General features: G+C 46.5%; 2 long non-coding RNA genes across 7 annotated transcripts in view, besides 6 other annotated features; one reads left to right on the top strand and one right to left on the bottom strand.

Annotated features, from left to right (window-relative positions):
* Positions 3,018–3,267: a silencer, noted in NCBI's record as "silent region_938". NCBI's record gives its function as "represses an Ori minimal core promoter by ATAC-STARR-seq in GM12878 lymphoblastoid cells {active_cell/tissue: GM12878}" and the evidence as "EXISTENCE:reporter gene assay evidence [ECO:0000049][PMID:35858748]".
* Positions 3,111–24,371, top strand: LINC02777 (long intergenic non-protein coding RNA 2777). Of its 4 annotated transcripts, NR_183656.1 has the most exons (5): positions 3,111–3,681; positions 10,159–10,251; positions 11,240–11,404; positions 18,041–18,100; positions 23,515–24,371. It is a non-coding gene; the product is annotated as a long intergenic non-protein coding RNA 2777 (long non-coding RNA). The 4 variants fall into 4 exon arrangements; NR_183655.1 differs by lacking the exon at positions 10,159–10,251; NR_183658.1 differs by lacking the exons at positions 3,111–3,681; positions 10,159–10,251 and adding an exon at positions 10,463–10,599.
* Positions 3,328–3,717: a silencer, noted in NCBI's record as "silent region_937". NCBI's record gives its function as "represses an Ori minimal core promoter by ATAC-STARR-seq in GM12878 lymphoblastoid cells {active_cell/tissue: GM12878}" and the evidence as "EXISTENCE:reporter gene assay evidence [ECO:0000049][PMID:35858748]".
* JUN-DT (JUN divergent transcript) overlaps positions 7,537–25,300 on the bottom strand; it is a 114,562-nt gene continuing 96,798 nt past the window's right edge. The window contains exons 2-4 of one of the 3 annotated variants that reach the window (NR_034014.1): positions 13,532–13,704; positions 10,864–10,992; positions 7,537–8,202 (exon numbers count right to left, since the gene is read on the bottom strand). This is a non-coding gene — a long non-coding RNA (JUN divergent transcript). The remainder of the gene's footprint in view (positions 8,203–10,863; positions 10,993–13,531; positions 13,705–25,300) is intronic. The other 2 variants (NR_034015.1, NR_108106.1) reach the window with 2 other exon arrangements.
* Positions 7,778–8,072: an enhancer, noted in NCBI's record as "tiled region #10312; HepG2 Activating DNase matched - State 5:Enh". NCBI's record gives its function as "activates a minimal TATA promoter and a strong SV40 promoter by Sharpr-MPRA in HepG2 cells {active_cell/tissue: HepG2}" and the evidence as "EXISTENCE:reporter gene assay evidence [ECO:0000049][PMID:27701403]".
* Positions 21,630–21,825: a silencer, noted in NCBI's record as "fragment chr1:59351096-59351291 (GRCh37/hg19 assembly coordinates)". NCBI's record gives its function as "represses an EF-1alpha promoter that drives an FKBP-Casp9 reporter gene in an ReSE screen in HepG2 liver carcinoma cells {active_cell/tissue: HepG2}" and the evidence as "EXISTENCE:reporter gene assay evidence [ECO:0000049][PMID:32094911]".
* Positions 23,055–24,254: an enhancer, noted in NCBI's record as "CDK7 strongly-dependent group 2 enhancer chr1:59348667-59349866 (GRCh37/hg19 assembly coordinates)". NCBI's record gives its function as "activates an origin of replication core promoter dependent on BRD2, BRD4, P300/CBP, MED14 and CDK7 cofactors, with strong dependence on CDK7, by STARR-seq in HCT116 cells {active_cell/tissue: HCT116}" and the evidence as "EXISTENCE:reporter gene assay evidence [ECO:0000049][PMID:35650434]".
* Positions 23,858–24,152: an enhancer, noted in NCBI's record as "tiled region #2604; HepG2 Activating DNase matched - State 5:Enh, and K562 Activating non-DNase unmatched - State 5:Enh". NCBI's record gives its function as "activates a minimal TATA promoter and a strong SV40 promoter by Sharpr-MPRA in HepG2 cells, with weaker activity in K562 cells {active_cell/tissue: HepG2 | K562}" and the evidence as "EXISTENCE:reporter gene assay evidence [ECO:0000049][PMID:27701403]".

Here is a 25,300-nt window from a genome sequence, read left to right as displayed (position 1 = left end):
CCTGGCTAACTTTCTGAAAAAATTGTAGATGTTTCCCTAACAATGCTTTTTAGTCCTATTGCTGGATTTTAGCATAACATCTATATGGCAAATTGTTCCAACTTAGGAACACATTGTTGTATTATCCTTAAATTCATTTGGTAGCAACTCAAGACTTTCCAAACCACACTGATAGTCAACCTTATAAGTTTTGATCTTCCAATAATGCTTTGGGGACCCACTCAATGCTTCAAACTTCAGTGCTTCTAGTTGGTGTTTTTTGATTTGTTTAGCTGTGTTCGCAGTTGTAATTCCATAGAGGCAGCAAAGGTTCTCTCTTAGCTGGGACTATTCAGGAGTGGGAGAGGAAAACCAATGCATTTTAACACAGGATTGATGTTTTCATCTAGATGTGACATCTGTGGTGGTGTGCTATGGGGCAGGAGGAATAGCATGTGCAAAGGCATGGAAGCAAGAGCAAGCTTAGAGTATTCAGGGGACTATGCGAGATTCTCTGGCTGGGAGTGGAGCTGGGAATGTGGTAGGAGAAAACGTGAAAAAGGTGAGTTAGTACTAGATTGTGGAAGGTCTTGAATGCCACCCCAAGGAGTCCGGACTTCATCCTGTTGGGAAAGGTGAGCCTCGGGAGCTATTTGAGCAGGATATTTGTGGTTTTTCATTGTTTGTTTGTTTGTTTTTAAAGACAGTAAACTGAATAAAACCTGGAGCCAATTTCTCCCTCCAGTTTTGCAGGTCTGATTTAGCCTAACTTTTTGCTAATGTGTTCGCTGCCTCCACCACACTCCAAACCCTACCTCCAAGGAAATGTATCTCAATTGACTGGGAATTATAGATGCACATTTCTGATGCTTTGAGTTCAGCCCACTCCCAATCAAGGCTGTACTGAAATTCCTTAGCATCCCACAGCTCTGTCCCCAGGCAGGACCCCATCAGTGGGGGCTGGGGGTGAGGCCCAAAAAAGTAGGAGCAGAGGCTTCTGTCCTCTGGCCACCCAATTGTAAACTACTCCTGAGACCCTCCCTTGGTGGAATTCATATTCTCCCTTTTCTTAACCCTTAATACAAATCATGTCTTCCTGGAGCCCAAGTGCAAAGTCATGAATGAAACTCACGTAAAAAGGCAGCTGTACCCTTTTTGGCTGTTCAGGATTCTTAATAATGAACAGGCTTGAAAGACAATAGGTTCTTTGTCCCCAGAGGTATCGAAACAGGCATGTGTTAGAGAGGATTCTTGCAGGCCTTGGGAGCCAAAGCCTGACAAGTGATGATCCTACATCCCACCCAACTAGTTACAAGCTTGTTAACCTCTAGCCTCTGTTTCCTCAGCTATAGAAAGGGGATCATAGTAGTGACTTCTTTACAGGGTTCTTGAGAATACTAAACAAGACAATGATGGCACTTGGCCCAATGCCAGGCACTAAGACCTGCCCAGAAAAAGCTGGCAATTATCAAAACTGGTACAATCCTCTACCTCTGAGTTCATGGTAGCCAGTGGTTGAGCTTCATGCTTCCAGGGGCAAACCAGTCATTTATTTTTTAGTGTGACCGCTAACTGGGAACATTACACAAGCAAAGTCCTAGAGGCACAGAATTAATACACTGAATATTACCCTTTGAAGTCATCTAGCAGCGGGAGCCAAACTTATCATTTTGCAGAAGGGGAAACAGATTCAGACAGAGGGAGGAACAGGCCCAATCCAAACATAAAGTTAAAGGCAGAGCCAGGATGAGAACCTAGGTCTCTGATACCTACTCCTGCTCTTAACTCTGCAACATGCTTTCTATCTCACTATCTTAGTAAGCAACATTCAAGACCTTCACGATTCCGTCTTCATTCAGTGAACATCTGATTACTTAGAGGTTCAAATTGCTTTCTATATCTTAACTCATTCAATCCTTATAGCAACCCCACAAGGCTGATCTTATTGTCAATCTCCATGTTGTAGATAAGGACAGTGAGGCTGAAAGGGGTTAAGTCACTTGGTTAAGGCTCACAACCAGTAGGTAGTAAAGCCAAGATCTGAAACTGGACAGTTGGGCTCCTAAGCCTGTGCCCTTAACCACAACACCATATTGACCCTTCAAGAGTGAAAAAGTATGTGGCGTCTGCCTTAGACAGGCATACTCCCCAGGTGGGAGACACAACCTGCAATAAGTGTGTGCAACCTCATACTATGGGCACCAAGAGAAGAAAGGAAGGAAGGATTAATTTTACAGGGGGAGGAGGGAGAGAATCAGGAAAGCTGCCTGGAGGAGGTGAGCTTTATCCAGTTTCCAGAGCTGACTCACTTTCCTCCAGGTTTCTCTGCAGATGGACGAGTCTTTGCTGAGGCAGGCAGGTAGAAAGGGACTGGAGCTTAAGGGATGCAGTCAAGGAAGTCAGTGAGAGAGGGAGGGCAGGACATTAGGCTTGAAGTGTGTGAGGTGGGCAAGTTAATGAACCTCCAAGAGCCTCAACTTTCTCATCTGCAGAATGGGGATGATAACACCCACCTTCTGAAGCTGTTTGAATATTAAATGAGATAACGTGTATATACTTCCCGACCCAGTATTATTCCTCTTTATTTACCTTTCATAAAACTATTTCACTCACTAAAAATAAATTTAATTGAGCATATTTTTGACACAGTAGCATTAATAATCTTGAGTGTCATTATCAGTCATTCATAATAACAATATAATGAATAATAATGTTAATTGCCATTGACAGCACTAAGTGCTTAAAATGTATGATCCGTATTTATCCAATCTAATCCTCAGAATGTATCTTAAAGATAGGTAAGGCGTCATTATCCCCATTTTACAGATGAGGATAATGAGGCTGAGAGAGATGGAGAAAGATATACAAAGGTCACCCAGCGAGGAAGCGGCAGGATGGGTATTCAGACCCAGGTCTGTTGGTCCCAGAAAAATGTCCCCCCACACAGAGGATGTCCCGTGTTTGCAGTTCATGTTGGTCTTGGCCACGTCCCTCCGCTCTTTCTCAGAAGGAAAACAAACATTCTAAGAGGTCTGCTAGGCCGAGGGAACGCGAACGCCAAAGAGAGGGAGGGAAGGGGCTGGCCGAGGCCGGAGGATGGGCCCAGACTGGGAGGGTGGAGCCGGCTCCTCGCCCCGAGCCCGACAGCCGCATAAAGCCTGCTGCTTTCACTGGCCCGGTGGGGGCCAGCAGGGTCAGGGCCCGCGGAAACCCTCAGCCTGGCGGGCCGGGAGGCCGCGGTGCTGCACTGGCTCGGCGCGCTCCCCGAGTGGCGCTCAGGCGGGGCGCGTTCATTTCATCTACAGACTGTCGGGAAGGCTTCCCGAACTCCTCCTCCCTGCCCGCCTTTGCGCAGGGCCGGACTCTTCGGAAACTGAAATCACGGGCCGCCCGGCCCCCACCAGTCCTCGTGGGATCCGGCCCGGGTTAACCTTCTATGGGGAGGCCCAGGAGGGCCGGGCGGAGCGCCGGGGCGGGCGTGCGCTGACGTGGCGAGCGGCTCCCTCCACCCGCTCCTCCCGCGGGCACTGCCGAGGCCCATGGGCGGGAAGCCGGGCGGCGGGCGGGACGTGGCCTCGGTCCCGGCCCTGCCCCGCCCCGCCGCCACTGAGACTCCCAGCGCCACCAACGTCGGAGTTGCAGTTTCTTTAGCTGTCATATGCAGACAAGTACTACCCACCTCGCCTTTGGAGTGAGCAGCATGTATGTACGGTACCTGACACCTAAGAAATGCTCAATGTATGGTCCCTACATGGTGTCACTGTGATTGTTGTCGTTGTGGTTACGCTGGGTTGGGCAGCTCGCCTTGTGAAATAATGAGCTCCCATTGCTGAGACCGTTCAGGCACAAGTTGAATGAGTTCGGGGGACAAAAAGAAATACGTTAGAACAGGAAGTCCCCCAAATTTGGCATCCCTCAATACCGATCTGGTGACTTCAGAATCACCTGGGAAGCTCAAACAGCACCTCAGACCAGGGATCGAAATCCCGGAAGGCAAGCTCGTCTAAAAGTACAGCTTCATGTGTAAACCACTGATCTAGGCCAATAGTCCCTGCACTTTTCATCTTCAAAGACCCTTCTGTGATTCCCTCCTGCCCCACTGACTGCACAGTGTAAAGTATGTTGTTGACCAAACTAGATTTAACTCACAATTAATTTACTCTCTAACTAAATTATTAATCAAAGCCCCAGAGTTCATTAAACAATTATTGAATACCTACTGTGTGCCAGGCACTGTGCTGGACACTGGTGGTCTGGCGGATAGACAAGGACTCTGTCCTCATGGACTTACCAGTCTGGGGAGGGAAAGCAGAAAATGAACAAGAATTCAAATACTGACACTGAAGCCAAGAGAATCCAGCTGAGCTGAAGGCACCCAATATTCCTACAATGAGCAGATATGGGTGTATCAAAAGCAAAAGCAAATAGAAGCCTGGCACGGTGGCTCACATCGGTAATCCCAACACTTTGGGAGGCCGAGGCAGGCAGATCGCTGCCTGCCTTAGAATATATTGTGATAGAGAAGAGTCCATGAGTTCAAGACCAGCCTGACCAACATGGTGAAACCCCATCTCTACTAAAAATACAAAAATTAGCCGAGCGTGGTGGCGCACTCCTGTAATCTCAGCTATTCAGGTGGCTGAGGCACAAGAATCCTTTGGACCCGGGAGCAGAGGTTTCAGTGAGCTAAGATCATGCCACTGCATTCCAGCCTGGGGGACAGAGTAAGATTCTGTCTCAAAAAAAAAAAATGGAACTGTATAATTCCCCTGAGAAAGGTGGGTGTACCCCTCAACACACAAGCACACATGCATATACCACAGCATTATTATTTTCATGGATCCCAAAAGGTCCAGGTCCTAGATGAAGAACATGTAAGGCCTCATGAAGAAAGTGCCTAAAGCCGGCATACAGGAAGACCCTGTAGACCAGATTCCTGCCTATGTGACCAGTTGCACTGCCTGCCTCACCTGTGAGGAACTACTAGCAGCTGCCCCCAAACACTCCAAGTAGAGTAGCTGAGAGGATGGGCTCTGAAGCTAGGCTGCCCAGGGCTGAATTCTAGCTCTATTCCTTACTAGCTGTGTGAGCAAAGGCAAGGTGCCTGTTCTCTATGTGCCTATGTTTCCTCTTCTATAAAGTGGTCTGAATAATACCTACTTCACAGAATTGACATGGGAATCAGAGAGATGGCACTTAAAACAGGTGGTAAGCACTCAATATGTGACCCCTTTTTTTTTTTTAACCTTTGATGCTCTCTCTCCCTGGAGTAACCCCTTTCCCCCTTTCTCTGCCTGGAGAGCATATCAGCCCAATGTCCCTTCCTTTCCAGAGGCCTCCTTGCTTTACTTCATCAAGTAATTTGATGCTTTTCCTCTATGTTCTTGTGGCTCTTTTTAGACACCTCTTAAGCACCCGTCATATTGCAGTCATTTGTCTTACTGTTGTGTAGGTGTTTGCCCTCTTCACTGGATTATGAGTTCTTAAAAAGCAAGGGCCAGATTTTATATATCTTTTCATCTCTAGGGACAAGACAGTCCCTGGAGTAAACAGTTGACACTATCTGTTGAATTAATGAGTGGACAGATGGATGATGGATAGATGAGTGAAGTGACTTGCCCAGGATCACAGAGTTTAAATCCAGGGTCTCTGTTTAATTTACGTTGGGAAAATTACTCTTCTGAGCCTCTGGTTTCCCATCTGGAAAACAGATTTGATAATAATGGCTCCTACATCTTGGCATGGGAGGGTTCAACAAAGTACACATAGGGAAGTATTCAAGAATATAAGCTCTAGAGTCAGATTGCATGGGTTCAAGTCCCAGCTCCACCACTTATGAGCTGTGTGATCTTTGATAAATTCTTAACCTTGCTATGCCTAGAGGAGGCAGAACACATTAATGAGCTGTTCAGAAAATTAAAAGACATACTCTCTGTGAAGTCCCCAGTGCCTGGCTCAGAGTAGGTATTCAGTAAGTAAATATTGGTTTCCTTCCCCCAACCCCCACCTTCTCCAGACCTGTAGGGTTTGGACTCTGAATACCCAAAACAGCTGTTCAAATGCCATGTTTTGTTCCTAGTGACTAATGTCCCTTAAGCCAAGGTTGGAAAGGCGACTCCAGAATTGAGCTTACACTTGGGTACTGAGTTAGATGAGGGGAATGTGGCTGAGTGGTTTATTTAATTAATAAGGAAACTTTTGAAAGGAGACAGTTTAAAATCAACAAACATAATACAAAATTGAAAGCAAGAGCTAACCCACAATTTCATATATGGGTTTCATATGTCATTGGAATATTTCTTTATGTAAAGCTATGAATAACAGGATCATCCAAACCCAAAATAATGTATTACAAACCATAAGAGCAGTGATCAGAATTGGTTTTGCAGCAAATTAGCCAGTTAATCAGTGTACAACATTGTAACAATTCTTGAATTTCCTTCTTCTCTATCACAATGTATTCTAATAAACTATTCAAAATTCTCCAATGGTCACATGTCAATTACTAAGCCAAAAAGTATGGAAGAAAAAGGGAAATATCTTTTTATGTTGGACCTAGTCTCCCATCACATGCCCACCCAGAACTCCCCAAATCTCCTTCTTACTCTGGGGTTTGGAAGAGGCTGAAATGTGGGTACTCAGGGCCCTGGAAGCTGGCAAGTATTTGGCAGTTCAGTTCAAAGAGGAAATCCGAGAGGGTAGGGGCCTCAGCGGGACCGAAGGGATGAGATGCACAGAGAGGGAGGGAGAAGGGCAGGAATCTTATTAGCAAAACTAGCTGCCTGCCAAGTAGGGCATGTGTCTGAATTTCTGAAGAAAAGAGAGGATAGTTGCTGTTAGTTTTAACTTCAGTCCTTCAAAACTTGGGTAAAAAGGCGAATTGTGCGTGTGTATAATACTCCACTCTCTATTTCCCAAATAAACTCTATCTGTATCTTCCATCTGAATCTTTCTTAACCTGACCCTTACTTATCCATACCTTGAGCTTTGTTGAAACCCTGTTCTAAGAACTCCTTCCTGATCTCTTCCGTTTGGGAATGAATCTCTACCTTCTTCTCTTACGTGCCCATGGTACTTTGTGTCCCCACTTTAAGACTGCTCACAGACTTACTTAATTATACGCCAGCCAACTTCCTTCATTCTTTTCCCCACTTACGTTCCTCTTTTTAAATAGCTTTATGGAGATATAATTGACATACAATAAACTGTGTGTATTTAAAGTGTACAATTAGATACGTGCAGACATGAGAAACTCTCAGTACCAGATAGTAAGCATGTCTACCACCCTAAAAGGTTCCTTGTGCTTCTCTGAATCCTTTCCTTCTGCCTCACTTCCCCAAACAACCATGGATCTGCTTTCTGTCACTGTAGATCAGCTTGCATTTTCTAGAGTTTTCTATAAATGGAATTATACAATATGTACTCTTCTTTCATTGGCTTCTTTCACTGTGCACAATTCTGTTGAGATTCATCCCTTCAACCTTCCCTCCTTATTGGATTGTGGACTTCGCCAGGCAGGAACGATGGCTCGCCCGGGGCATGGAGCTCAGTGATGGGCACAAAGCAAGACTCATGGAGGAGGATGTGTTTGGCAGCTCTGGATTTTGTGGGAGAATATATGTGGCTTTCAGGCTGGACTCGGTCACTTGTAGCTGCGTAGCCAGCAGTCAGTCAGTTACAATCGCAGCCTCAGCTTCCTCATCTGTAAATTGAGGGTGATGATAAACTCCCTTCTCTCTGGAGGGTTCTGTGAGACTTCACTGAGCCAGGAGATAAAGTGCTCTGTAAACTGTGAAAGGTCAGTCCTGGGCAAAGGATTAGGCCTGGATCAAGCCAGCAGCACACTGGGAATGCCCCAGATCCCAGGGCTAGTCAAAGTCAGCGTTGTCATCCAGGGAAGCCATGTGGATTTGAGATTCCTCATAGAAATAGCCAATAAGGACTATGCCTGGTGGACTTTAATCCTGGCCCAGTCGCCAGAATGTCAAGGTTTCTTTCCCCTTGACCCTCCCCCCTTCCTCTGCGTGGGCTGTATGTATTTATGAGGTCTCTCTCCCTCCAGAGAGCCACACGTGACCGGAGGATTCCTCCTCTGGCCTGGAGCCGGCTGATAAGGGCAGTCCATCTGCTGGGGGCTCCCAGGACCAGCAGAAACAGGAACCAAGCTGGTGGAAGGGAGCAGGGGAGACTGCCAGGCCTGGCTGCAGCTTCCTCTGGCTAGAACTGAGGAGAAGGGGGAGAAGGAGAAAAGGAAATATTTGTCGCATATTTAAAGTCAACTTGACCTATAAAATCACACCAAACTTGGGGAGGCTGCCTATCTCCTCTGATGGACTACATTTCTTATATGGTATTGCTTAATAAAGAGAAGTATGGTGAACTGGAAGAGCCCAGAGATGGAGATTCAAGGCCTAGCACAGTCACTAATTTCCTATGTGAGCTTGCAAAAGCTGGTTTCCGTCTCCGGGCTTTACTTAATTAGAACCATTAACTGAATACCTACTGTGTGTTAGCCACGACACTGCATTTTCCATATGCTTTTATAAATGTAACCTTCAAAGCTATCCTGAGAAGTGAATATTCTTCCTCTCATTTTACAGTTGATGAAGGTGAAGTAACATGTACAAAGTCACCTAGGAAATAGCCAAATTATGAACTTAGTGCTATCTGGCAACAGAATCCACATTATTATTATTATTATTTTTTGAGAACTTAAGGACAGCAATTCTCAAGGAATTAGCTTAATACTGAATTATTTGGCCGGGTGCAGTGGCTCACATCTATAATCCCATGACTTTGGGAGGCCGGGGCGGGTAGATCATCTGAGGTCAGGAGTTTGAGACCAGCCTGGCCAACATAGTGAATGAAACCCCATCTCTACTAAAAATACAAAAATTAGCATGGCGTGGTGGCGCTGGCCTGTATTCCCAGCTACCTGGGAGGCCGAGACACGAGAGCCGCTTGAACCTGGAAGGTGGAGTTTGCAGTAAGCTGAAATGGCACCACTGCACTCCAGCCTGGGCAACAAAGTGAGACTCTGTCTCAAAAAAAAAATTATAATAATACTAATAAATAATAATAATAGCAAATTATTTCTTGCTCATACTCTGTGGAAAGAAGGCTCTGTAACCAACTTAATATGGGGAATGCTGCATACAGCATATCCCTGTCTTGAAGACCCACAATTTCATTTTCATGTCTTAGAAGGTTCTGAAAAATCTTGGAGTAAAGAGATTTAACTCCTTCATTTAACCAAGGTCTTTGGGTTCAAGGCATGAATATATGGCCTCACAGGCAGCCACCAGTCCCAAGAATGAGTTCTGCTTGGCTGTGTCCTCACACATCCTCCCTCAAGAGTCCCTCATCATGGAGCTCAGCCCTCTGGCAGTGATCTGCTAAGGTCTGTCTTTCCCTGGAAAAGGGCTTTCCAAACTTTAAAGTGCTGCATGAACAAAAGGCCTCATTCCCCTAACTCCTAGTGAAGCAGGCTTACAGTCCCACAGGACTTTTCATGTTCTCATCACACTTACTTTATATTGAACCTACAGGCAGTGGCCAATACATTGTCTAGCTTGGAGCAACTCCTTTCTGCTCCGTGGGCCTCAGTGTCCCCATCTGTCAAATAATATATTTGAGCTTTCTGTGATTCAGACACTTTTAGTCTTTTCTTATCCACACTTCTCTTTTTCCCTACCTACCACATTTCTTATTAAACCAAGTCTTCTGTTATTCAGGAAATAGTTTTATCCTCCCATATACCATAATAATAAGCATTTCTTGAACGTTTGTCATGTGTAAGGCACTGTGCTAAAAGCCTTATAGATAGCATCTCATTTAAGCCTCTCCATACCCAAGTGAATTAAACACTATTATTATCCCCTTTTATAATTGTGGAAACTGAGGCATTAAGCAGTTGAGTCATGGATCACATGCCTCATGAGGAGAACAGCTGAAAATTACAATCCAGCATCTTCCCATGGCTCCCTGATCCTAGGCTGTGAATCAGGACCAGTCCTTGGACCTGAGCTCAGCCCAGGTCTCAGATTACGGAAAAGAGACAAGGGTCCAGGGAAGTTTTTGTTGTTGTTGTTGTTTGTTTTTTGTTTTTTGTTTTGTTTTGTTTTGGCCTTTTGTTGTTGCTGCTGAAACCCATGAAGCATCCTCCTTTCTGTTTTGCAGAGGAAGGAAATATGGTTATACTTTCCTTGCTAAGGAAATCCAACCCTCCACAAGGCAGCTTTCTTCCCATCCCCTTGACCTTTTAGGAAAAAGGTGAGGCCCCTGGGAAGGCTCTGGGGGAGACCAGAGGAGCTCAATGTGCCCTGTCTAGGGCAGGGGTATTTTTAGAGCTGGCTGCACACTGTTTACAAGGAAGCCAGTCCCTTGAGCGTGCCCTCGCCCTACAGGGAAACACTGGCCGCCAGCCCCACCCGCTGGCCCAGGCTCCTGCTGGCCCTCCCTTCCTCCCTCCCTCCCAGCTGTTCCTTTCTTATCGTCTCTATCAGCATGTGGGCTCTATCAGCATGTGGGTGTGCTGTCATTAGCACCCTGAGAGCACAACTGAACAAAACTGTAGCCCAGGGCATTGAAAACCTCTCGGAGAGGGCCAGGTGTGACCAGGTACTGGGGAAAAAATAAGAAGCTGCCATCAGTTGAGAAGATGGCCCTGGCAACTGGCTATCAACTGAAAATCCTGCAAAAGGATATTTCTCCTGTGAAGCAGGTGTGGAACCTCATTGTCCCGGACTTCCTGAAAGTGAAGGCCTGACAACTGGAGAGGGTGGCTTGGGGGAATGAAGAGGCCACAGGCCTGGGCCAGGAGCTCAGTTCTGCCTCCAACTCTTACCACAGGCCAGTTGCTCTCAACTGTGACAAGTCACTTACCCTTCAGAGCCTCTCTTTCTGCTGCTGTAAACCAAGGAGGGCTTGAATGGTGAGGGCTGTCCAATCAATGACTGAACGTCTCAGGCTCCTCAGTGATGAAATGAGAGTACTTAGGCCTGCTTCCTGGGGCTAGTGGTGGATATTAAATAGGGTGGTGGTGTTAAGCCCCTGGCACGTGGTGGGCATGCAACGCATGCAGCCATGAAGGATACTTTCCTTATCTTTAGCACTTTACAGTGTCTAGCACAAAGTAAGCACCCAGCAAAAGATGCTCTTCTTTATTCTTGTAGCTCAGAGTTCTTTCACCTCTAAGACTACAAAAGCTCTCTCCAACTATGCAATTTTTATAATTAAGTATTTATTTCTTCTCCCCCAGCCCTGTGCCCATCCTGCTGTGATTCAGGAGTCTCGCAGAAGACATCAGAATGCCTTTCTCTGAGTCACAGTCTGTATCTTCTAGAAAAGGCTGTCCATCTTCACCCCAAGCCCACTGGCTCCTGAGATACGACATCCAGACCCAGTGCAGCTGGACCTGGCCCAGGTAAGCCAGGCTTCCCAGGGTCCGATCCCAAGCTTGCAGGGTTGGGTGGGAAGCTGGACCCAGGCAGCCCCACCCCGTCCAAGCTTCTCCGGATGTGGGTACAGAGATTACAAGGCCTCCAGCCTCCTCAGAGGAAGTACCCTTCCTCCTCTGCCCTGTGGGCAGACTGGACTTCTCTAGCAGCTGCAAGAGACTGCAAGATTGTTATTTGAGGTGGCTAAACTCTCACCAAGTATTCTTCTCCTCACTGCCTCCTCCACCTGCCCCTCCAATTTCCCTCTTCCCTTCCCAGCCCTTTTTCCTTCCTCCTCCTCCACTCCTCCTCCTCCTCTTCCTCATACCCATTCTCTCCTCCTGTTCTTCCCTACAGCTGTGCTTTTGACCCAAGTGACAGTCTGCTTATATTCCTAAGGGGAGAGTCCCAGCCAAGGGGAGAGAGATTGGCTCCTCTCTGTGGCTTCACGCCTCCCCTCTCAGTCCTTCCACAAAGATGTTCTGGTGGCCTCTGGCATATGAGGCCACCAGAACATCTGGCACTGGGCCAGCACCTAAGGGGCATAGCCAGGGGCTTGCACAGAGCTAGTTAGCCTGCTGGCCTGGGCCAGGCAAGCACACTTGGTTGGTTGGGTTGCATATTAACAAGGTGTCACTTCTGGCCACCTTCTTTACTGTCTCAAGGTCTTGCATGCACGCTCTGTTTCTAGAGTCATTTCACTGTGTCCCCAACAACTATTGTAACAACATATTACCTTAACTTCAACTAGCAGGTGCCACTTTGGGAGAATGTGGTTTTTTGTTTTTTGTTTTTTGTTTTCTTTTTGACGAAGTTTCACTCTTGTCGCCCAGACTGGAGTGCAATGGCATGATCTCGGCTCACTGCAACCTCCACCTCCTGGGTTCAAGCAGTTCCTCTGCCTCTGCCTCCCGAGTAGCTGGGATTACAGGCACCCACCACCACGCCTGGCTAATTTTTTGTATTTTTAGTAGAGACGGGGTTTCACTATGTTGGCCAGGCTGGTCTCGAACTCCTGACCTCGTGATCCGCCCGCCTCAGGCTCCCAAAGTGCTGGGATTACAGGCGTGAGAAAAAGTGTTTTAGAAAAGAGGTTCCTCCTGTTTCTCTCTATCCCCTGCCCACCAGGAAAGAGAAGCAGCGCTTTTTTGTTTGTTTGTTTGTTAGTTTGTTTGTTTGTTTTTGTTGCTGTTGTTGTTCTTTTTTGAGACGGAGTCTCACTGCATCACCCAGGCTGGAGTGCAGTGGCATGATCTTGGCTCACTTCAACCTTTACCTCCCAGGTTCAAGTGATTCTCCTGCCTCAGCCTCCCGAATAGCTGGGATTACAGCTGCCTGCCACCACGTCAAGCTATTTTTTGTATTTTTAGTAGAAACAGCGCTTCACCACGTTAGCCAGGTTGGTCTTGAACTCCTGACCACAGGTGATCCGCCCACCTTGGCCTCCCAAAGTGCTGGGATTATAGGTGTGAGCCACTGCACCCGGCCAAAAAGCAGCACATTTAATGGCACAAGTGGCCAAATGAGTAACGGGGCCACCCAGCTAACATAGCTGGCTTGAGTATGGAGTACTGGCAAGGAAGGATGTCAGGAGAGGAGGCTGGAGACCCAGCATGGGCCAAATCATGCCAGCAGCCACCACTGGAAGCCATTGCCCCTCGCATTCTGCAGCAAGGACTGCCTCTAGGAAGATATGGAGGCTGGGCTAGAGAATGGAGAGAAAAGCAGCAGGCAGACCCAGAGGAAAACAGTGACAATTCTTCTGGCCCCATCGAGCCTCTTTAATCCCAAATCTTTTCTTCCAAGCCACCCCTGACTTTACAAATCTCAAGGGTTCTAAGAGGCATGTGTTCATTCCCAAGCCACTTCTATACTCACCTGTGCCTTGCTGCCTGAGTGACCTTAGATAAGTCCTTTAGCCACTCTGGACATATTTTCTTTGCATGTAATCAGAAAGAAGGTGTGTGTGTGTGTGCATGAGAACACACACACACAACCACCAAAGGGTGGTTACAAAGCTTTAATAAATAAGACAATGTTACAAGGAAAGCACAAGCAGTTCTCTTTAGCTCGCCTTCAGCTGCTATTCCCATTCTACGAGGGGAAATCCTCACCCGGAAAACCTTGTTCACACTGGCACAGGTCCCAGGGCGTGAGCCCCTGTGGAGGCTGGGTCTCTCCCTTTCCATTTCCCTTGTTGACTTCCAGCGCGACTGTTGTTAGCTCGCAGATGGACAGGCAGTGCTCCATGACTTGCCAGCTGCCAGGCTGAATCTGCCTTGGTTCCCTAGGAGAACAAGCCTGATATCAAGGATGCAAAGGGGGCCATGGGGCCTCTGCTCAAGGCGGGAATCTCGGGTGTCTACACAGAGTCAGACAAGGGCTTGTGTTTAGGCTGCAGCTTCGAGATAACCTGCCACCTCCAGAAAGCCTCCCAGCAAGATAGAAGTTGGTGAGGTGACCTGGGAGTTAGGAAAGAGCAAGCAACAGGGGAGGAGAGGGAATCCCAGGAAGAGAGATGGAGCTTCGCAAAGGCACAAAGGTGTGAACGAGCAGGACAGGTTTGCAGTTCGTGGCCGCTACTGCCCTGAACACAGCTTCTCTGTTAATTAGTCACATTTTTGCTTTGATCATTTCTTCTCCCCAACTGCCCCATCCCCATCAACTGCCAATTTTCGTGCAGATTCTACCATCTTGTGGGTCTCTAGTATCCATTTCCTCTTCTCTACCCCTATGGCCATTGTCTGGGACACATAGCTCTTCTGGCCTAGACTAATTAGAACAGTTTTCTAACCCATCTCCTTGCCTCTAGTTTCTCCCACCTTCCAATCCATCCACCTCATAGTTGCCAAAATAATCTTTCTGACTGTGTTCCTTTTCTGCTTAAGTCCTTCAAGGACACCCCATCAACTCTGGGACCAATTCTGTAGCTTAGGACTCAGAACTTCCATAAGCTGATCCCATTGTCTTCCTCTCCTGCTTAATTTCCCAACAAAACCTACACATACCCTGAGTTATTACCACACTAACTATCAGTTCCCCCAAATAAGGCGTACAGTTTAATGCTGTCTGTTGCTCTTCCTTTTACCTGGAATTCCCTCCACCCCTATCTTTCTGGCTAACTCCTACTCCTTCTTCAGAACCCAGCTAAGGAATCACCTCCTCTAGAAAGGTTTTTCTGACCCCTCCTCTGTGCTCTCAGAGCCTGACAGCACATATATCTCTAGTATCAAGGTTCTTAGGGCTGGAATTCAGGAGCTTTGTGAATCTGTATGGGGGAAGAAATGTTCACTAACTTGTACATAAAATTAATTTAACATTTCCTTCAATTACAAATGTAGGCTCAAATCACAGTGATATCAATGGTTCCTGTAATTTATTACTAATAGAAATCATAGTTATGTTCATACCACTTTACAGTTGTTACAGATTATCTAAAAATTGTATCTATGATTATCAATATTTTGAAAATAAAATAGTTAATAGACCTATAGATCTGGTTACTCAGTGTACAAATATGAAACCACATACATTATTACCAATTTATTTTTTTCTGTATTTTGTTAACTTTTGAAAAATAATTGCTTTCTTTACCATTGTATGTGCTTAATTTTATGCATTTTAAAATGTTATTCTGAGAAGAGGCCCAAGGGCACCATCAGACTGTCCAAGGGCTTCCCAGCATGAATGGTGACACCTTCTCTGGCATAATGCTCTTAAATCCCCACTGTAACTGTTGGTTTATCTTGTTCTCCTCTGTCAATAGAGTGTGTGCATCTTGAAAGAAGGGGGCCCTCTTTTTACATGCAAGACTTAATGCAGTGCATGGCACCTAGCATATTCCTAGAAATATTTTTTGAAATAAATACATGCAGGCAAAAAGGAAGAAAAGAAAGGAAGGAGGAAGGGAAATAGAAAATTTGATCTTCAAAGGCCATCTGCTCTTCCCTCTGCCTTGGACACTCTACTCCCAGCTGTGACTAGCTATCCTGCCTCCTCTATGCCTCTGTAACTCTAGTCTACTCTGTGACTCGACTCTACTCTCACTCTACTCTGTGACTAGCTATCCTGCCTCCTCTATGCCTCTTCTCTTATGTGATCTTCCCAGGGGGACCATCCATAGCACTGTATTTAAAATTACAGTTCCACCCCATGGGCATGCTCTGTCCCCCTTCCCTGCTCTGTCTTCTTAACACTTAGCACCATCAGACACACCATGTGTTTCTGACTTCTTACTTATTAACTCCTTGCCTCTCCTCACTAGAATGTAAGCTTCATGAGGGCAGGGACCTTTATCACATTCATTCATGTCTGTATCCCTAGTACCTGATAGAGCACTCAACAGATAATAAGCATTAAGTAACTTGAACGGGTCAATGGAAGCAAGCAAGTGGTGAAGGCCCATCAGTTAGCAGGAACCCCATTCTGTTGGGAGAGGTTGAGGGCTGTCAGGGTCGGTGGCAGAGCCAACTGGCTATGGGTGAATGGTGGGAAGAAGCTTGGGTTGTTTGGATTGGGCATGGTCGGAAGGACCTGGCACCATGACTGGGGAGTTGGACTCCATGGTGTGCCTGTTTTCAGTGGAGAAATGACAGAGTCCCAGGAAGGCTGATCTGAGCCCGGGAGAAGGAGTGGGGTGCAGCATGGAGGCTCACAGGGAACACATCTCATCTCAAGACCATTGGTGTTGGATCAACAGCCTAGATTTGGGAAACTCCTGACACCTTATTTTCCTCAGTGTCTGGGAAAGCCAAAGCCTGTTCCCTTGTGAGGCCTGACAGCTCCAAGACCTCGGAAAGATTCAGGAACCACAACGAGTATGCCCCCTGGATTCCTCCCAGCTCTGTGTGCAAACCTCTGCCACAGAGCTTACTCAGTGAGGTGGTGGTGTTCTTCCTCCACCAGGCAGCGAGCTCTCTGATGACAGCACTACCTCACAGTCTTCAGTCGTTGGTAGTACAAGGCCAGGACTGACACAAAGTACATTTTCAGAGACCATTTATTGATGGAAAAATTGTGATTAGAAAATCACAGATGTGATAGTGATCATTCATTTGAATCACGAGGAGAGTAATGAACTTTGAGCTCCTACTGTAACCAGGTACTGTGCTGGCTACCTGAGCCACAGAACTGAATCAAATGGGGCCCCTCATCTCCAGGAGCCTGTGGCAGAGGAGGAAGCTCAACATAAAAATGGGTAATAACAACAGAGTGTGCCAAGGATTGAGGGACCACACTTAGGAAACCCGCCCCTCACCCAGTCTTCTGGTACTTACCAAACTAAATTACATTATTATTTAATTACTTGTACTCCGTCTTCCCATAAGAATATAAGCAATGAGAAAAGCTTTGTATTGTTCACTGCTCTCCTCCTAGCACATAGTAGCTGCTCACTTGGGAAGTCTCAGAGGGGCACTGGTGTAGGTTTGATAAATATCTGTGAATATGTGCATGGCTTGAGGAAGCACAGAAAGTTGCATGTGCCTAGCTCAGTCCACAGATGGGAGCCACAGAAAACTTCCAGCAAGAAGAGGCCTTGGCCAGGAACACGGCGTTCCAAAGCTCACACCCTTCAGCATTCCCCATTTCATGACTTCTTCACAACTCAGCGAAGTAACACCCATTTTATGAATGAAGAAACAAATCTCAGAGACAGGAAGAAGCTTGGTAAAGGCCACTCAGCTGGGAGAGCAGGGCCCACATCTTCTGCTGAAAGTCTATGCTTTTTCCACACTGTTCTGCCTCTTGCCAACACATAACGAGGACTCCTTGTGGCAAAGGATGACTTGCTGTCCATGCAGGTTCTGAGGGGGTGAGAGACCATTCCCAAGGAATGGAGGGGGCTGGGTCCAGAGACAGATCATCATCTCCAACATCAGCAGCTAAAGGAATGCACTTTCCCAGAAGCTCTACACAAGTTCACCCATTCTTCATAATCACCTGGTACTGGAGATTCAATTATTGTTCCCAATTTACAAATGAGCAAACTGAGGTACTATTAGGTAATTTTCTTAGATCACACTGGTGGTAAGGAAAGTGTCTGGGGTTCAAACCCACACAGTTGATCTCAGAGCCTACACTTTTAACCATTTTGTCTCCTGCCTCAATAGAACATGCCCAACTTGTCCAACTCTGGGAGGCTGCTAGAAACTTCCCAGTTAAGCACTCTTCATGTTTTAGACATGATACTGGGTACTCTGAGGAAAAGCTACAAAGAATAACTTTATAAACTTCCTGCCTTCAAGAAGTTGCCGACTCAGAAGACATAAGAAATCAATGAAACTAAAATGAAAGGTACAAAGTAAGTGCACTGGGGATAGGACATTTGAGCTGGGCCTTGTAAATTAAAGAGAGAATGGTGCTCTAGGAACAGGTCGCAGCATATACCACCTCATCCAGGCATGGCAGTAGACTCCAGGTTAGGGAAACATCAAATCAATTTGTGTGTCTGGGGAACAGAGGGTATAGGGTGAAGACAGGGGCAAGTCAAAGGAGAATTGGGCTCCAGATCCTGGAGAGTTTGAATTAATACAGTAAATACAGAATTTGCTCACTGTTTAGTTGATACTGACCTATCAGAGGTGGGGAAAAAAGGAAGTAATATAACCTGACCTGCATTTTAGGAAGATCATGCGGTTTCTGGGAAGCACTGGAGAAGGAAAAGGCTGAAGAAAGGAAGACCGGTGAGTCATTTAGCTCTTTCTGCAAAATCAGCCACCCCATAACCTAGAGGCCTAAAATAACCACTGTCTTATTATTGTTCACAAGTCTAGGAGTCAGTGGGCAGCTCTACAGTCAGCTACCTGCTCACGTGTTTGGTGGGTACTGGATGGGGCAATGGAGATGACTGGGGCATGTGTCTCTTATTACCTTGGGCTTCTTCTCATGGTAGATGGTTGCCAGGTTACCAAGAAAAGCAAGAAAGAGCAAGCCCTGATGCACACAAGTTCTTTTCAAGCCTCGGCTTATGTCATCTTTCTTAGTGTCCGTTGGCCAAGCACAGATTCAAAGGGTGGTGCAATAGACAGCATTTCTTGACGGCAAGAACAGCAAAGTCATATAACAAAGGGGTGTGGGCCGGGCGCGGTGGCTCACGCCTGTAATCCCAGCACTTTGGGAGGCCGAGGCGGGCGGATCACGAGGTCAGGAGATCGAGACCATCCCAGCTAAAACGGTGAAACCCCGTCTCTACTAAAAATACAAAAAATTAGCCGGGCGTAGTGGCGGGCGCCTGTAGTCCCAGCTACTTGGGAGGCTGAGGCAGGAGAATGGCGTGAACCCGGGAGGCGGAGCTTGCAGTGAGCCGAGATCCCGCCACTGCACTCCAGCCTGGGTGACAGAGCGAGACTCCGTCTCACAAAAAAAAAAAAAAAAAAAAAAAAAAAAAAAAAAAAAAAAAAAAAAAGGATGTGCATAGGGATGGGATGAATTTGGGGTTGTTTTTGTTAGGAGGCCATTTTTGTAATGGGCCAAGCAAGAATTAATAGTTGCTTAACCTAGGAGATGGCAGAAGAAACGGAGAGATGATTAGAATATATTTGAGACATATTCAGGAGAATGATTATGAGGGAGAGGAAAGAATTCAGGATACCTCATGGGTTTTTGGAGAGAGTAACTGGGCAGATGGTTCTTTGTATCAATGAAGAGAACCAAAAAAAGAAGCAGGTTTAGGAGTTGTAAACACATTCCAGCTCATATGATTCTGCTGTGGTCCATGAACGTGCTACCTTCCTTTCTTAGAGAAATGTTCTTTTTCCAAACCTCCCTCCACTCTGACCACGTGTCCACATGGAAAGTGAGATCATTTGCATGACCCTGCCTTTCTAACAGTAGTAATTGGCCAGGTGTAGACATCTGATTCGAACTGGGAGTGCCCAGCCCCACATCCACTGCCAGCCAGGTCCGCCATGTACAGTTGTGCAGGTTATGCCCTGTAGAAGCTTGTCTGGCAGGGATAATAAGTGGGGACTGGAATCCAGCCTGTGCTCTGCAGGGCAAGCTTGCACCTGTGGAGGTGCAGACACTCAGAAGATAGTGCCCTCTTCTAACTCCCACAGAGGTGTTCTTTGCTGCCAACCCCAGTGGCTGGTCCAGGGGCAGGCCCATATGCCACACTAGGTAAATTGGAGTTCTCTAGGAATTATGACATTGCAGCACATGGGAAAGAGGTTTTTTCTACTCTGACCCCAAAACTGTATAGATAGGAGTGTGTAGCATCCACATCCCTGTGATACTGAGGAAACTGCTGAGAGAGAATGAGGCCAGTACATCAATGAACTCAGAAGATGGAGGTGTAAGAGAAAGAGAGCTGTCAGAATCAGAGCACCCCGTTCCAGCCAACTCTGCCATTCCTGGGGCTTGGTAGTTTGGTTTCTCCATCAGTTCTTTGATTTTCCCTATATTCTTCTCATTTAAAATCTCCTTTTTGGCTTATGCAAGTTCAAGTTGGGTTTTTGCTCCTTGTAACCAATACAATCTTGCACAATAAAGTAAAGAAGTTCATGTGTTCAGATTTGGAGAGGAGGAGATTGGCATGAAAGACAGGTCAGAGGGTGAATTGAAAGAATGTGGTGACCAGTTTGCTGAGAGTCACATGAGAGAAGGGGTGTCCTGGGGAAGTCCTGGGCTTTTGGCTTGAGAAACTGTAGAGGGATGAGGATCTCAGCAGAAGTAGGCAATCCAAAAAATAAACTATGTTGGAGGGAGGGAAAATGCATTCTTCCATTTATTCATTGAACAATTGTTCCCCAAGCCTTGTCTAGGCACTGGGGACTCAGCAGTGGATACGGTGAACTTAGATTCAGATATTATCTGTAGGACATCATTGACTATTTATTCAACAGTGAGCACCCACTCTAGGCCAAGCATTGTATCTAGAACTGAGCATAAATCCAGGCAGTGATGTCCAGCAGGCAGCTGGAAAGAGGGTGGAGCTGGCATTTCTGTTGTAAGCATCATCCCCATGGGGATAATTTTGGAAGTTGTGGGAGAGAGCACTTGGAGAAGAAAAGTCTAGTTCCATAAGCCTTGTCCATCATGCCTCAGCTTCATTCGTGGGCTGGGAACACAGTGTTTCTTTGGCTTGTATGGCTGAGAGGCAGACGCAGAAAGAGCGTGAGTGGAAGAGCCCAATCTGGGGCCAGCCTGGGGTCACACAACAGCCCTACCAGGTAACTGTGTGTATGACCCTGACTGAGTCGGCTACTCTCTCAGAGCCTCAGTTTCCTCAGTTTCAGCAGAAAAACAGGAATGCTTATCCCTCTGTTAAGAAAGAATATTTGTAAAAGTGTATTCATTCAACCACAAACAGGTATTGAACACCAATATGTGCCATGTTCCAGGGTAAAAGCCTCAAATGGGAGTATCAGAGCCATCATCTGGGAGGGATATATAAATCTTTGTGGCTGCCATACCTGGCTTCTGCTGCACCTAAGGCTGCCAATCTGACCCTGTCCACCACCAATCAACACCAATCTGCCCCTTCCCCAGCCCATCTGAAAAGCAATATTTTTGTGATTAGTAAAGAAAGAGAAAAACGAATGTTGTGCTGTCCTCTGGAGAGCTGGTTTCCAGAGCGGCAGAAAAAGGGCCCACGTGAACCATGCTGTTCTTGGCAGCCACTGCGCTGTTCCTCACAGCCAGAGGCTTAGAGCTTTATTTGTGGTTTGAGTTACAAGCAGGGGTGAAAACCCCAGAAAAGTGGGGGGAAGGGAGAAAACATTTTAAAAGTCGAGAAAATTGCCCTGTATTCTCAAGTGCAGGCAATTTGTCCAAACACCTGAGCTCTGTAGAATCCTAGTGGTCTGACTGTGGTTTTATATTCTGGGGCTCTGGGCCCAGTGTCAAGGGCGGGGGACATTTTTTCATACATTAAGAAAATCACAAAATCACTTTTTACAAGATATTAATGAATACCTTTACTGCTTCAATGGTGACATTGTTGGAGGTTTTAAAAAAACTCCAGGTTAAGGTTTGGGGGTGATTTTGTTTTGAAGGCTGCTACATAAGGTATTTCACAGTCATTAAATAGGAGATTTAGATGTTGACCCCAGGATCCCGTGCAGAGGACACTAAACATTTTAGAGATAGAAGAGCCCTTTAAGATCTTTAAATTCAACCCTCTCCTTACACCGATGATAAAAACAAGGCCCAGAGGAAGTAAGAAATATGTTCAAGGAAACGCAGCAAGTTTGTGGTAGAAGCAAGTCCAGATTCCAGGACCCGAAGGTCTTTGTAGCAGCCTTTGCAGCAGCCTGGAGGTGACATTGGGCCTCAGAAACCATGACTGGCCTCCCCCTCATGTTGACATTTCTGCGGCAGTGACTTTGAAAGCTGCCTTTTATGGCTCTGGCTTTGGAAGGGCAAACACTGTTATCAGTAAAACAACACAGGTGCTTTCTAGAGTTGGAGCCAGGTGGAGCCAAGCAGGAAGGGAGACCCCTTCGCACAGGCAGACATGACCCAATCACCTGTCTGGTTCAGAAGGGTGCAAAGACCCTCCTTGGGGAGTGGAACAAGAGGCTTCTGTGGTGGTGAAGGGCATGGCTTGGGGGCCAGACAGGATAGCTTCAAGTCTCAGTGACATGGCTGGCTAACTGCAACCTCAACAACCTCCCTGACTGAGCGTCAGTTTCCTCAGCTATAAAACAGGGATGTTGATGGCTCAGTCCTATGACTGAGCATATTCCAAGTGCTCAATAGCACATGTGGCTAGTGGCTACTGTATTGTACAACACAGATACAGCATTATCACAGAAAATCCTATCATGCAATGCTGGTAGGGGCTCTGGGCTCTTGACATTAGTTCTTGATCTCACTCACTACAGCTACTGAAAACAGAAGACTGGTCCAAGTGAGGTCTCCAGCTCTAAGGGCTCGGATTCACGGCAGAGATCCACGGTTCCTGGCTCCTCTCTCTAGCCCTTAGTCCTCTCTATTACTGCAAGGATTTGGCTTCAAGGTTGGAGCCTGGCTCACTGCCTTTCTTATGCTTCCTAAGCAGAACCCCAGGGTGAGAGGATGTGTGTGTGAGGGGAAGAGGCTGGCCAATGCCTCCTGTAAAGGTAGGTGTCCAGAGTCTGAAAGCCTTGGGTTCAATTCCTGGCTCACTCACTCAGATGTTAATGGCTCCAGGTAAGTCACTGAACCTCTCGGAGCCTCAGTTCTCACATCTGGGCTTGCTCTAGTAAGGGGTAAAGAGGTAATGGAGGGAGAAACACTTTGGAATCTGTAAAGTACACTGTTCAGAATGAGAAACTTCTACAAGTAGATTGACTCTCCTTGCTCTGCCCCTTTCTTCACTAAAAGAGTATTTAGATAGAGGCAGATAGCTGCCTTAGAATATAAGCAAAAAGATGTTTTATTTAGAGACATTTTCCAGACATCTGGAGATGAGAAGAACTTGGTATCCCAGAGACACCCTGGAAGAGTCCCCTAAAGGAGAATGGGAAAAGGAAAACATTCTCTGAACACCTATTATATTTTAGATACTGTGACAGTCCCTTTCATATATAAAGAGTGGCAATGATGATGATGCTGGCTAACAAGAAAGTTGAGTGCCCACTGTGTGACAGGTACCCTTTTGATTGCTTTACATATATTATCCCCATTTTACAGATGAGGAAGCTGAGGCACTGCAAAGTAAAAACAAATTTCCAAGGTCACCCTAAGCTAAGGTTTAAATTGCAGCAGCCAGAGTCGCAGGGCCATGTGCACAGCCGTCTCTCCACACTGCGTTCAGTCTGCACATTGTTAGTCTCATGTAACACCACCTGCCACTTTCAGATAAGGAACTGAGCCTCAGGAAGATTACGTTACTTGCTTAGGGTCACATAGAGGGGAGAGAGGAGGTTCATTGAGTGTTTTGCTTTTTTTCTTCTTTCTTCAAAAATATTTCCTTCTTTGGCTATCTTTTTGACTAGAACAAAGGCATTGTTGATTCAGTTCGCGTCTGAATCTTGCTTCCTATTATTTCCTCACTTGAGTCCTAGGTTCCCCTTAGGATCAGACAGAAGAAGTCTACTGCCTTGTTCATAGGGAAATCTCTGAAATACCCAAAGCCTATCCTCCCAACATGTTTGCTTCTTTTCTTCTTCAGGAAAAGAAATACAAGTCCTTCCGCCTTGGCAAAGATGATAGTACCGTTCCCTTCAGTGTTCCGGTTCTGCTCTATTGGATAAGTTCCGGTTTGACTATGACTACGTGAAAATGTGGAACCAGACCTTCACCCCACATTCCAGCTCCAGCTCTACCACAGAGGAAGTGCAATATCACCTTAGTTATTCAACACATTATGCTCCTCGTGATACAACCAGAGTTCACATCAGCAATCTTGGCAGCTCTCACCACGCTGCTGACTCACGACTCTCTCATGTCCCAATTTCCTGTCCATTGTTCTTTCCTCTACTTGGCCTGATTTCTAAAGGCCTCTCTTGGTTGCATTAAGCGGGATTCCTGAGGGATTCCCTTGGCAGTTACCTTGGGGGAGCTCTTAGGTTTGGGGCTGATCCATGTCCTCTAAATGTAGGACTTCAAAGCTCCCAAAGATAGGCAGGCCCAGTGGGAAGCTGGGAAATGCTCTCTGACCCCTCTGGGAGGGCTGGCAGTCAGAGGGCCTTTTGGAAAGAGTCAGACCTGATCCATAAGTCCCTGGAAAACACCCTGCCCAGGGAGCAAATGCCACTGTGGCCTTGACTGAGGCTTCAGAAGAGTTTGGGAGCTGCAATTCATCCACACACGCATTCATTTTCAAGTAGTGGTTTGCAGTTCAGGCTTTGGAGCCACATAAGCCTGGCTTCAAAGCCACTTTCCAGCTTTGTAGGAAGTCTCTACATTTTTAAACCTCCATTTTTTTTTCCTGTAAAACTGGGGTCTTCATGGTACTTAACTTCATCGTGATGTTGAGAGAATGAAAAGAAAAAGGATAAATAAATGGCTTAGCCTCGTGCCTTGGCACATATTGTGATTGTTTCTTCACGTCTTTGTTCTCCTGGTGAAGCATTTATTCAGCAAGTGTTCACCAAGAGGCTGCCGGGGCAGCTGGGCGCTGTGGCGGAAAGAACACAGATGCTAATAAAAGCCTGAGCACAGGATCAGGCTCTGTGGGTAAAGATGCTCCAGTGGACCAGCTGAACACTTTACAGGAGACTCGTTCTGGCTCTGCATTTGGACGGCTGAGCTCCCACCCACTTCATCCCCCACCCGCAGCACACACACCAGCTTCTGGGCCATTTCTGAGTTGGGAGCTTCTCAGATTACGCTCAGTGTGACCTTGGGCAAATCCCATCACTCATCTCAGCCTCTGGCATATTTCCTATAAAACAGAGATAATAATACCCACCATACCAAGTTTTTGTAGTAGATTAACCAACAGCAAATGTGAAGTGCCCAGCGAAGCCCAGCATGTGGTTGATGCTCCACAACTTCTAGCTCCATTCCCCCCACCACACCTTCCATAACCGTGTGCCAAGCTTGGGCTAGATGCTGGTGGTCAACAGATTAAAAGAAGCTAGACCTGCCTGCAGGGAATTTAAACTTTAATGGGGGAAATAAACATTTGAACTTCTATCCCAGAGAAAGAGCGCTAAGGGCTGTGATGAAATTATGTCTGAAGGGTTATGGAACACCAGGAAGGGCAAATCGCTTTGCCAGTTTGGCCCTCAGTTTCCTTGTGTGTCAAATGAATGAAATTGGTTACTACCCCATGTGAGATGACTTAAGTGAGTTAGTGAGTGTGCAACTACATGTCGGAAAGTTTAGTTCTGTGCTAGTGCTTCTATTTACTTATCTGTTTCCCCATTAGAACTTCATCCCCTTGAAGGGGATGTCTTCTAAGCCTATGTCTTATTCATTCCTCTGTCCCCAGCACACTGGCATAGAACTGG

The sequence above is a fragment of the Homo sapiens genome, chromosome 1, assembly GCF_000001405.40.
Source record: "Homo sapiens chromosome 1, GRCh38.p14 Primary Assembly".
Lineage (NCBI taxonomy): Eukaryota > Metazoa > Chordata > Mammalia > Primates > Hominidae > Homo > Homo sapiens.
The sequence above is the reverse complement of the archived record's forward strand: the minus strand, read 5'-3'. Positions and strand labels throughout refer to the sequence as shown.